Source organism: Homo sapiens, chromosome 14 (assembly GCF_000001405.40).
Source record: "Homo sapiens chromosome 14, GRCh38.p14 Primary Assembly".
Taxonomy (NCBI): Eukaryota; Metazoa; Chordata; class Mammalia; order Primates; family Hominidae; genus Homo; species Homo sapiens.
The window spans coordinates 85,510,983-85,524,834 of record NC_000014.9 but is presented as its reverse complement, the minus strand read 5'-3'; positions in this window follow the sequence as shown (position 1 = coordinate 85,524,834).

Here is a 13,852-nt window from a genome sequence, read left to right as displayed (position 1 = left end):
AAGTAAAGTGAGGTGTTTCAAAACTCAAAATAAAAATAAGCTGTCATTATTTATATAATTAATGTGTTTATATAATATATAAATATATATAATGTATATATGTATATAATTTATATAATTAAATAATATAAATTATATAAACATAATTTATATAATTAATGTGAACACAATTTAGTGTGAGATATATTTTAGTCCATCTAACCTTCAGCCACTTCATGGAGTTTTAATTGCATTGGTACTTCCTGCTTTGCTGGTACCCTTGTTCCATATAACCTCTGAGAGCTTCAAAGGTGTAGAGCTGCTTAATTCCTGCACAGTTAACTCTGCAGTGCTTTCAGGTGTCACCATTTGCTACCCTAGAAATAAACTTGACCTACCCTAGAAATAAACTTCCTCAAACCAGGGAATTCTGAGCTTGCCTTTTCACTACATGTATTATTTTAAAATTCATATAATTGCTTAGCCAATTTTCTTTCACCCTTCTTTTTCTTAGCTAAGAGAGGTAACTGTAAAGTTTTTCAAGTGAGTCTTTTATTTTGCTTTTTAATTTTGTTCTTGAATTATTTTAGTGCTTCAGTTTTCTGGATTTAGTCATCTCATTTACTTACACGGTTGGAACACTTGGATTTTATGTTTCCTTTTTCTCTACATAAAACATCTTTGAAAAATAAAATTAACACTAAAACTTGATAAGAAAGTTAAAGAAACAGTTCCTCACAAATAGTGCCTGTTTCTCTGTCCTCTGTCTTACCTTTGAAAGTTTCCCTTAGTACAATATTTTATAAATAGGCTGGGCAATCACTTACCGTGAATACAAGTGAGTTTATTAGTATTAGATTTTTGCTTTTTATTAATCATATAGGGAAAGGAGTTAAATTCTTCCTAAACACGGAAGAGCTAGTCTGGACCAACTGCCTGTTTTGTAGGTTGACAAAGGCCTAGGGGCTCTTTTCTATGATAAAGAGCTTGATTTTGAAAGTCCTTCTCATTTTCCTTGGTATTTTGAAGAGATGTCTCTGTCTAGTCAATCCCAAGCACAATATCAAACCACAGAAAGGTCAGCATTGTTCCGTTTTTGAATTATTTATTTATTTTTCCCTCTAGTGATTCTGCTGAATTTTCATGTTTATATACTGGAATTCCTTCTTCCTTTTCCTTTAATGCCTTATAAATAATACAGTGTTAGATTATTTTTAAGTTCAGCAGATAAAAGAACATGGATTGTAGATCAAGGTTGATAGAAAGTCAAGCAGTAGGCATTAAAATGCCTCTATTTGTAGAGCCTTTATCCCTTAGAGCATTCCTAAATGAATTATTTTATCTGAAGGCCTGCCACCCACACCCTCCATGACATGCTATTATGAGTTAAGTGTCAACTCCTTATCCAAGGTCACAGTGAGGTAGCTAGTAGTGAATGCTAGGTCTTGAGAAACCTGTCCAGAGTTGAGCCCAGTGACCTACTGTGCATCTTATTCTCTCATCAGCAAGAAAATTTGTTCTTGTCATTATGGATAAAACCAAAAGTACTTTCAAAACTTTTTAAATATCTCTGAACTAAAAGCCAGATCCCATAAAGTGACAATGTCTTCTTCATAGGTCTGTCTTAAGCATGAGGCTTTAAAAATTATAAAAGTAAGCCTATAATAGCTAAAGGGGCCTCAGCATCATTAAAGAAATGCAAACCAAAACCACAATGAGATACCACTCCTACCCATTAGAAAGGATATAATAAGAAAAACAATAACCAAGACTTGGCAAGAAAATAGAGAAATTGGGCCCCTCAATCGCTCCTGATGGGAATGTCAAATAGTGCAGCTATTTTGGAAAAAAGTTTGACATGATGGTTTCTTTAAAAGTTAAAACATAAATTTACCGTATAACCCAGCAATTCCACTCTTAGGTGTCTACTCAAGAGAAATGAAAATATGTTCACACAAATAGTTTCACATGAATGTTCTTAGTAGCATTATTCATAATAGTCAAAAATTGGAAACTACCTAAATGTCCTTCAACTGGTGGATAGATAAACAAAATGTGACATATCCTTTGATGGAATACTATTTGGCAAAAAAAAACAAACAAACTCTGGATACATGCTGTAACATGGAAGGACCTCAAAAACATTATGTTGGATGAAAGAAGATGTACACAAAAGACCACATACTGTATGATTTAATTTATATAAATCTACAGAAAACTCAAAGCTATGGAGACAGGAGGCAGATTATTGATTGCCTGAGGAGTGGGATTTGGGGGAGAGAAGAGAGAATAAGGATTAACAGTAAATACTCATGTGGGATCATAAGACTGTGATGAAAAGGTTCTAAAATTGATTCATGATGATGGATGCATAACGTAGTAAACTTACTAAGAAGAGGCTGGGCACGATGGCTCACTTCTGTAATCCCAGCACTTTGGGAGGCCTAGGTAGGTGGATCACCTGAGGTCAGGAGTTCGAGACCAGCCTGGCCTACATGGTGAAACCCCATCCTACTAAAAATACAAAAATTAGCCGGGCATGGTGGCACGCATCTGTAATCCCAGCTACTCGGCAGGAGAATCACTTGAACCCGCGAGGTGGAAGCTACAGTGAGCCGAGATTGTGCCACTGCACTCCAGCCTAGGTGACAGAGTGAGACTCCATCAAAAAAAAAAAAAATACTAAAAAGATGTATGGAGAGCTATACACACAAAAAGAACAAATTATATGCTATGCAAACTATATCTAAATAAAAGTGTTTTTTAAAAAGCTAGGAAGGAAGAGGTCACTACCTATATCTTGGTCAAATTCTTGTTAGATCCTCATACATCATCAATAAATAGGACTTGAATTATCTTAAGAGGATAAATAAAGAATATGAAATGTATCAGAAATAGTAAACAAATATACAAGTCTAAAGAATTTTTCCTGTAGTTCCCTAACTTTTCAAAACAGCAGGTAATTTCCAATCTAATTAAATACACTTTTTGATCTGTAACATTTAGATATAAAATAAGCAAAATACAAAGTGACATATCTCTTTCACTCTATTTTCTTTTTAAAAAAAGTTAACATTTTTTAAAAGTTTATGAATCACCAAGAGTAAACAAATTTTCTGTATTTGTATTAAGTTCTCTGCTCACTAGGCTCTTCTGCCAGAAGATTCTTCTATTTTTACAACCTGTGGTATGTTTGTTTACTATGGCCCAAGTTAACATGATTGTTTATTAATAAAAAATCTATCTTTCACAATATAGTTAAGAAGTATTTTAACATATTCAATAACAGTTTAATTCCTTCAGATATTCATCAGTCATGTGTTTTTTACTCTGTCCAGTTAGGGCAATATAAATACCATTTTGTGAGGATGTCAAATTTTTCTTTTTTCTGGCAAAACAAGAAAGCATAAGACAGATGGGTTAAGAAGAAAGTCAGACACAGTATCAGTTGCCAAAGGGGGGAAAACAAGTAAAGACAACATCTTGTCCATCAAGGAACTCAGATAAAGGCTCTTTCTTCTCTCAAATGATGACAGCTCCAGAGCTGTGAGCAACGAGAAAATAAATAAGCACAACCACCAAAAGTGTTTCTCCCTGGTTTCCACTGTAATATCTGGAATAGACAAACATGTCATTTTACTGGGAAGATTACCTGAAAAAAAGTAACCAAAATAGAAAAGGAAGAAAGAAGAAAACTGAATAGGGTCTATTACATCTGGGTAGACGGTTATCATGCTTTTCTAGATGCAGCTGATGAAAACATCCAGGAAGAATAATCCACATCCCTTTCAACAATATAAAGGGATCCAAAGCACCGATGTGTGATTCTGACACGAGAAGCTTCAGGACAACTGACATAGTTGCTCTCAGTTGAAAACGGACACTAGTTGGTACTCTGAGTTTATTTTTCTCAAATGGAAGTTTGCTCACAAGATGTGGTAAGATTGAGTTTGTATGCTCTTAAATGGCCTTTTTACAGGCAGGAAGATCTTGTTTGTCAGGCCTCAGGAAACTGTTGATAGAATGAAGGAGGTTAAAATTGTTACTGGATCTACTAAACCTGTGAGCCATCCATCACCCATTTACGACGGTATCCCGAATGGAAGAGAGATGAGGGTGAGCACATTTAATGAGGTGTGAGCTTTGAATGGACAGAAAAACACAATTCTGAAGGTTTTGAGATCAACTTCTTGAATTAACACAATGGAAGATATTTTATTGTGGCTATAAATTATCTTTTAAAAATTCTTTACATTACTTAGACTTTAGGAAAAGAATAGAAAGTAGATTCGAAAATACTAAGAAAATTTGCTAATTGCCCAGGTTCTTTTCCTAATTTTTATAGGGTGTGTTTAAGCATAATAGCATGTTGCAGTCTATTTGGAATAGAATCAGGCTGAGTTTTGGTATCAAATATGTTTCAAACTAGCTGGGTATTTAGGAAAGTCACTTAATCTTCTTATGCCCCAGATGTCTCATCTGTCACAGGTGATAATAATTTCTGGCAAACATGCTTTACATCATTTTGTAAGTATAGCATAAAATGATAAATGTAAAAACATTTAAGGGAAAAGCATTTCCCAAAGCAAAGGTGCCATTCTTATTAAAAAATGAGAACGTCTCCTCTTTAACCCCTAAGTTTACTTGAGAATAAAAGCCAAGGTAACTCCTTTAGGAAATGATTAGGTTCTGGTTTACATTTCTTATGTTATGGGGTGATAAAGGCTGATCTTTAGACATGACAAGTACAAAGTCCTATGCTTGTGCTGGAGTTTGAAGAGTCTCATTAATCATGCTCCATTGTGTTACAGGTTCTGTAAACATTGCAAAAGCATAAAGTACAGCCCTTCTCTTAGTGACATCTTTCCAGCCTAACTCCAGGAAGCCTTTGAGATTTCTTTAAATGACTGGATTTCATTTCAGTCATTAGTTAACCTTGCCTAGTGGGTGACTATGAATCCCACCAGGCAGAAGTAAGGGGATATGTATTCAAACAGTTCAAACATGGTTTGTCCCCTTCACATAACCATTAAGAACAGTAGGAGGGCTTTCCTTTCTTGGGGTAAGTCAAGTTGTTTATGTGAATCAGATAATCCACATGTATTTGCCTTTAGAAACCAATGCTATAAAGTTATAGTTAGAAAAGAATGCTGACAATTCTTTCCATGGATATTTTAAGATTAAAAGGCAAATGTTATTTCTAAGGGATTCATAAATTCTATTGGCAAAGTCTTTTATGTAGGAAGAGGCTACTTTGAGACAAGCAAGAAGCCAGACCACCTTTGGGACTATGGTCAGAGTACACTCTTTATTCACTAGGACTCATTTACATAAGGTTCCTTTTTATATTTTGGTTACACCTAGCTTTCCAAACCCTCTAAAATTCTTTCATTTGTGAAAGTTTTATTATTTATTTTCTGATATTCTATTCATATTTTCCTTCCTAGAAATGTTCTAAAGCACATCTATTAGTTGGAGTGTACTTTCATTTTGCAGTTATACAAGCAAAGATTCCAACAGGATTAATGCTAACAAGACCATTTAAATAATTGTGTGGGTGAAATTTGTACAGAACATATAAAAGTATATTTCAATATAATTAATTTTACAATATTTTTGAAGAAGACTATATTCAGTCCCAATTTCCAAGTTGTTTTGGGAGGGCCAGATACTCTAAGCTGAATTAAAACATTAATTTCCTAGCTGCTTTTCTTGCCTGTGAACCCCCCCCCATTCATTTTACTCCAGGTAAATGTAAATGGTTACAGTGGTTAGGGATTGGTCTAATGAGGCAAATGGAGTTAATGTGATAGGCAAGCTATCTTCCTTCCATTTAGGTAACATAGAAAACTTCAGGCCAGGCATGGTGGGTCATACCTGTAAACCCAGCACTTTGGGAGCCTGAGGTGGGTGGATCACCTGAGGTCAGGAGTTCGAGACCAGCCTGAACAATATGGTGAAACCCTGTCTCTACTAAAAATACAAAAATTAGTGGACGTGGTGGTGCGCACCTGTAATCCCAGCTACTCCAGAGGCTGAGGCAGGAGAATCGCTTGAACCCGGGAGGCAGAGGTTTCAGTGAGCCGAGATCGCACCACTGTACTGCAGCCTGGGCGACAGAGCGAGATGCTGTCTCAAGGAAAAAAAAAAAAGAAAGAAAACTTCATATGTCTTACAGGATGATACTCATACATATGGAAAAGGCATACAGCTGTATCTGAGACAATTCATTACCAACTACGGATAAACTAGTTAAGATATAGGATATGCTGACAACGGGTCACCATCTGTAAAACGTGTTTATGGAAAATAAAACATGTATTTCCTATGCCTATACCTGCAACCTTCTTCTGATTCAGCAGCAACCCTAATGTCTCTTCTTCTACCTTCTAGAAGTTTACCACTTTCATGCTACTACTTTTAACATATTTCAAAACAGTGAGATTCAAACTATGCAATTATAGAAGAAGAAGAATTAATCAAAATGGATATCTAAATAATTGAATGGGTAAGTTAGAATCATTAATAACAAGAAAATGTGGATGTGGAGACATCCACATGCTTATAATGATGGACAAAGCAGTGTGAAATACAGCTATGGAATTGTTTCCTCTTCCTTGTATATCATAATCTATAAATGTCTAGTTATTACATCATTATCTCTCATAGCTATAGCATCACTTTCTCAGATTTCCTTAATGTCCCAACAAAAATTCATGTTCATTCTACCACTCCTGGGCCTTGTGTACTTCTCCTTAACAGTTGTTTTCTTTGCACTTTTCCAGATTAAACTTCATCTTGATATTATAGATTTTTTCTTTTTTTTCTTTAGTATATGAATGGTATCTGCATTTTATTACTTATGTTATTAAATATTTCTGAAACCCTACTATGTGTCAGGTGCTGTATTTGATCCCGTTAAATGTGGCAGCAAGGGTGCTAGCTCTGCAGCAGATTATTGCAGAGTATTCAGACAAATAAGTCAAATTACAGTGCAATTCTAGCAAGGACTAGATTAGCGGAAACATAACGTTCTATATAAGGGCATAGAAGAGGCACCTAACATATTCTTTTGGAGCCAGGAGCTTTTTCTGGTATGGCATGGAATACTGCAGAAACTGATTTAATGTCATTCACACTTTGCATGAAATGTCCACGTGGAGAAAGGGGATAAAAGAAGAGTCAGAGGTAGAAATAGGCTCTGCAGGTTGAATTTAGAAGGGTGAGCTTTATATTGAGGGAAATAAGGAGGATTGAGGGTTTTTAAACCGGAGGGTAAATTTGTAATTTTGTTACTTAACTCTGTCATAGACAATATGTAAACAAATGAGTGTGTTCCAATAAAACTTTATTTACAAAACAAGGTGGGTGGCTGGAACTGACCCACAGGTCAGAGTTTGCAAAACCTGGAAAGCTGCTGATAAGGTAAATTGAAAGGTTTTGGTCACCTGCTAGAAGTAAGGGAGACAGAAGTGGTAAGTTTCTGGCTTAGTCAATGTGAAGCAGATAATTACCAATGAATAATTCTAAGGCATGTGTGTTAATATACCATGTAGAATGTTATAGAAAAAGTCAATGACGCAATCATAGAAGTTATTATAATTTGGAGTATATCTTGAAATGCCCCACACAAACACAAAGTTAGAGTAAGCATTGTAGTATGAGAGTGTGAGCTAGCCATTCTATCATTTAAAAAATTATGATGTAACTTTACACCTATAAAATGTATAGGCATTTTTAACACAGTAGCTAGTATTTGTTTAAACACTAAGTTCTAAAAATAAGAGGTGCTAGATACAAGCAAAGTATTACAACGCAGTAACATGTAATATTTTGAAATGCTTAACAAAGAGTCATACATAAGCTGCAGAGACAGGGGAAATATGGAAACATTTAAAGAAAGGATGTGACTCACAGGAAGAGAGCCAATCTGAAAATTCAGAGAACACAGGGAGGAGACCAAGGAGAAATCCAGAGTGAAATGAAATAACGGTTTGGGGAGCAGATGGTGCAATATCTCATTCTTAAAAGGTAAGATGAGTGAGGAATCTGCCTTTTCTCCTTTGAAAGTCACATACCTTCTAGTTTCTATTCCATTTCTTTCTTCTTCTTTTTTTTTTTTAGCACTGGTTTCATCTGTAATTTATCTTTATCCACAATTGGATTTCTTCCAGTTTCCCAGATAATATCACTGCTTTCGCCTTGATGACCTGGTGTTCTTATGCTATTTTTTCTCATTCGTTCCATCTCCATTTTTGCTTCCATCCTTCATTTTCTGCAGATGAACATGAAGTCAGTGAGGTTGTGCCATAATGTGCCAAATGTGATGTTAAAATGTTTTGGCAACTCCTAATTACTGGGTTCTGCAAGACATTTGGGAGATATTATACTCTTACAAGGAAAGGAAATTTCTTTGCTCCTCCTTTTTGGCACGCCTCTCTTGTGGGCCATCAGAGTCCATCAAATGGAGAAGATGCAGCTTTTAAATTCCTGGCAAATATAACTTGGAACTTCAAGCTTCATTGGATTCAAGCATCCAAAATCTGGAGATTCTGCCCATATCCCCACTCCCTGCCACTCTACCAGTTCCTATTCTCTGAAACTTTGGTGTCAATATCTTCAGTGTCTGCAAACTTTTGGCATGGAAACCACTACCAAACGATGCAACATTTCCTTCTCATGTAGATGGAGTCACATCCATGTGCCTTAGATCTCCAGAACCCCTCCAGGAACTGTCTAAACGCCCCTATTTTAAAGAGAGGACACTGATACAAATGTCATAACCCAATGACAGCAGGGTCATTGCCATCTTGCGTTCTTAATTTCAACATGACAAGCCCTGAGTATGTCCAGATGTGTGAGAATAAGGTTTCATTTCGTGTGCTCAGAAAATAACGTGGAGGCATACAGTTGAAGGCTATTTATTTGGAGTGTGTGTGTATGTGTGTGTGTATGTGTGTGTAGTGATGTGTGCGTGTGTGTGTGTATATATATATATATGTAGTGATTTACATTTTCAGAGGGATCCATTGTCCAGAGAGCAAAATGCATGCTTTCTCTGTGTTCCAAAAGGCAGAACCTAGGGTTCACTACTTTTTAAAAATTGTTTTATCAGCTTTAAAAGATCCTGTTAGTTATACTGTCTGTCATGTAGACACGACTACACAGGTCTAACAACATATCCTTGAGTTTTTTCTTTAATGATGGGGTTCATTTTAATGAAACACGGCATGCATACATACACACACAAAGGAAAGGAAAAGTGCCTGCTTATTACCAAGTATATTGTTAGAATAAAGCTGGGTCTATCCAGGTTCAAGTCCAAATGTCCCTGTAGATGTTTCATCTTATTCAAAGTATAAGGAATAATCCCATCTATTGCATCTGAAATATAACTGTAAAGATTATCAGATGCTTGCTTCAAAAATTATGAAGATTCACATATAACATTGTTTTATTGTCTTAAGTTATACAAATATACACCTACTTTGACTTAGTAATGAGGGTTAATATGGCTTCATTCTTATTTGATTTTCTCATAGCTAAGTGTTTGTATAGAGCAGACAAATTACCATATCTTTTTATTAGGTTCATTAAAACCACCGAAAGGTGATATTTACAATTAGTTGAAAAAACGTATTGCTTTGGCTGAAACAAATCCAGAGTAAGTGATCAAGATTGTACCTCTTCAAAATTTCATAGCCACAGTGCACAGAATACATTTTAGATAATTCGAAACACAAAATCAATGCTTCAAAAAAACCCACTTTAAAAAGTCATATCTCACCAAATAACTACCCAGTTATGTGGAAAATGTTCAGAGATTCACTGCTTAACATATGCTTATTAATCTGTATTATAATAAGATGGAATTTGTAATTTAGCAAAAATTAACCCAACTTCCTTGTTAATCACATCAATCTATGGATAGAAATGCATTGCTAGTAACTTTTCTAGCCCCATTGCTCAAAAATTGTCAGAAGGCAGAGTCTGCATGCTTTCTGGACTTTGTAACTATCTGGGCACAGATTTTATACTTTCGGACATATGTACAAGGCCTCCAAGAAGAGGGCTAGAGTTTTTCATCCCCCTTATTGTTTAAATCTCTCAGAAGTAAGGTAGCTGTTGCACATTGTCCAGATACTCAGAAAACAATAACCTTACATCAGCAAATAATACCTGAGAACCTACTACACGTGTGCTGAGCATGTATGCTAGGTGTTGGAGATGCAAAGTTGAAGAGGAAGCTGTCCTAGCTGTGAGCCTTCAGAATTTGTTTGGTTGCAACTAGTAGAAGAGAACATTAAGTTGCTTTACTTGACAAGAATGTATCAGATAAAACCTGTCAATTATTGTCCTACTCCAAATTATTGGCTTGCTTTTGTTCTAGATCTAATCTTTTTTAAAAAACCAGGTATCTGCTAGTTTCATTAGCTATTCAAAGCTTGTCAAAGTGACAAATTATTCTTGTAGTACTTCTTGGTTGATTCCAAGACAAAATATGATTTTAAAACATGTAACCCGTGCTTTGCACTTCACTGTGAGTTTACAGGACAGACGATTAAGTTAAGAAATCATTCTCTAGTAATTAAATACATCTCAAAACCTCAAAGCTTCAGCAAGGGTAACTGCCAGAGAGAGAGAGATCACTGACTCTGCTTACCACAGATAACGTCTTCCTCTTAGGGTTTTCCTACTTTCAGTGACTGCAGCCAATCTACTCCTCAACATCACCTGCGTCCCTTAGCTGTACATGCCAATCTTTTATGTTGATGTTCACATGTGAAACCCAAATCCCTCCCTTTAATTGCCTATTGGTAAAACTGAATTACTCTGGAAGTTCCCCAAATCTTTACTGAATATTAATAAAGAACAAATGGGAACTAAATGTTAGAAAAGAAAAGAAAAAAAGAAGTATTTCCCCTGATAAGGTAGAGATGTGTGTGTTCATCCTATCTAGCTTTCCTGAGCATCTGCTAACCTTATCTTTCTCAACTAGTTAATTAACTGCAGAATTATCATGAATAGTAATGTCAGTGGGAAGGAAGGTAGAAAGAAGCAATAGAGCAGGTGGAGTATCTAGGCTAGACATTACATAGACAGTTTTACTTTTATCTGTTATGTTTACCTTTCAGGTGAAGTTTCTTTTTAAGAAAGTTTTCATGAGCTAAGAATGTTTAAAACCACAACACAAACTATCTGAGCTGCGTACCTCTGGTCCATATGTGACAAACATATGACAGGAGCACTACTTGTTATTTTCCTTGCTTCCATGGAAGGTTTCTGATATGGTTTGGCTTTGTGTCTCCACCCAAATCTCATCTCGAATTGTAATCTCCAGCGTGTCGAAGGACGGACCTCTAACCCCCACAAGTGGAGAAAAGTAGGCGATTGGATCATGGGGGTGGTTTCCCCCATGCTGTTCTAGTGATTGTGAGTGAGTTCTCACGAGATCTGATGGTTTTATAAGGGGCTCTGCGTGCTTCGCTGGCACTTCTCTCTCTCCTGCTGCCTTGTGAAGAAGGCGTCTGCTTCCCCTTCTGCCATGATTGTAAGTTTCCTGAGGCTTCACTAGCCATGGGGAACTGTGAGTCAATTAAACCTCTGTCCTTTATAAATTACCCAGTCTGGGGTATTTCTTTATAGCAGTGTGAGAACAGACTAATACAGTATAACTAGATTTATGCAAGCTCACATTGATTCCTGGTGAAATCTTAGAATCCTTCTCAACCCATCATTTCAGGCAGCTATAATAATTGGTTAGTATTGGCAAATAGGTTAAGCATCATCCTTCTTCTAACACTTTGTTAGAGTTCCTTACTTCCCACTTCCAGGCCTATCTTGAGGTGACAAGAACATCTTGATCCTTAAGGATTTTCCCTGTGTATCACTGTCTGCTCATTGTCTCAGCTGAAAGTCTAAAAGCTAATTCTGTCATCCCAATAACTCTTAGATTAACCCATTGTCAAATTTTTCCCCCCGAAATCTTACCTTACATTTCTTACGAAGTGTTCTTTGGAACACATTCCTGTAGCAAAAGCCATGAACAATTTCTGTAGGCAAATATACTTGCAACATGCTCCTTGTGAAGGGTCACAATGTGCAAATAGCTAAGCAAAGATTCTGAGAAGTGGTATAGTAGAGAACTCAGTCGGATTTAGTTTAACTAAGCATTGTTCAAACTTACTTGACCACAGAAGACTTTTATCCAATGACACTTCATAACAAGTCTGAGAATTCATTTTGGGAAATACTCCAACAACTTTACTCAAGCTTCTTTTTCTTTCAGTTCATTTTATTTTCTGACACCGGGATTATCTTTCTAAAATTATATGGCTGATAATATTGTTCCTGGCTTCAAAAACCCTAAATGGCTTCACATTAACTATAGAATTAAGTCCAACCTCTTGACCACAGAGTTCAAAGTTGGAGGTTCCCTCTGCAATTCATCTTCACCAGTTGCACATATGATACGGTTTAGCTGTGTCCCTACCCATATCTCATCTTTAATTGTAGCTCCTATAATTCCCATGTGTTGTGGGAGGGACCTGGGAGGAGATAGCGGAATCATGGGGGCAGTTTCCCCCATACTGTTCTTGTAGTAGTGAATAAGTCTCACAAGATCTGATGATTTGATAAGGGGTTTCCTCTTTCTGTTGGCTCACATTCTCTCTTGTCTGCTGCCATGAAAGGACATGCCTTTTGCCTTCCACCATGATTGTGAGGCCTCCCCAGCCATGTGGAACTGTGAGTTCATTAAACATATTTTTCTTTATAAATTATTCAGTCTCAGGTATGTCTTTATCAGCAGCATGAAAACGGACTAATACAATATAGTAGACACTTTATGAATGAATATGTCACATGCTTCTCCCCAGCCTCATGTCTTCCTGATTGTTATTTAACAGACTTTGACATTCAAACTCACTTTTATGTCTCTCTGCTTTCAGTCTTTCTTCACCTCTATCAACCAGGGAGCTCAAAGATCACTTGAGATCTGAAGTATTTCTCTTGTCTACTCCACATCCCTAAATAAACTAATCACCACCTCAGATATATTCCCATTATACTCTGAATTCTTCTCTTTCTATTTTGCTCAAAGAACATAAGCTGATGGCTCCTTAAAGGTCTAGTCTGGGGTTTCTCAGCCTCTGTTCTACTGACATTTTGAGCTCGATGACTCTATTACAGGGAAACTTCCCCAAACATAATAGGATGTTTAGCACCACCCTTGTGTGCATCTATGCACAAGATACCAGTAGCACCCCCACCAGTCATGATAATCAAACATGTGTCTAGATATTGTCAAAGGTCTCCTAGGAAGCAAAATTTTCTGGAGGTCAAGAACCATTATTCTAGATCAAACCTTTGCCTTTTCCTGGCTTTGGTCCTATGACCACCAAATAGTCACTGAATTCAACATAAATATGAATTGCCCTTATTTGCCTCTTGAAGGATTGATTGTAGTTGACAAGGAGAAGGGGAAAAAAAAAGAAAAGAAAGAGGAAATAACATATTCTAAAATGCTGTCATTAGGGAAATCTTGTAAGCATCATTATTTTCCAATTTTAGGCTTATCAAATCTGAGAGAATGCAGGACAAATCCCCACCCCCCCCCCCCCCCCCCCGCATTGAAAGATTCTCCAGTCCTTTGAAGTCTATTACTCATTTCTAGGATTTTGTAATTCCAAAGTCGTCTTTTGTTTTGTGTTCTCTCAAGTTTTCAGATTTGGTGAAGTGAATACACAATTGAGCCATTAACACTTGTTAACTGCATTGATTTATCTTTTTCTTACTGTTTCTCTTTCATTAATGACACGTAGCTATTTGTCTCCGGAGACTTTTTTCATGCCTTCAGAAAAAAATCTCATAT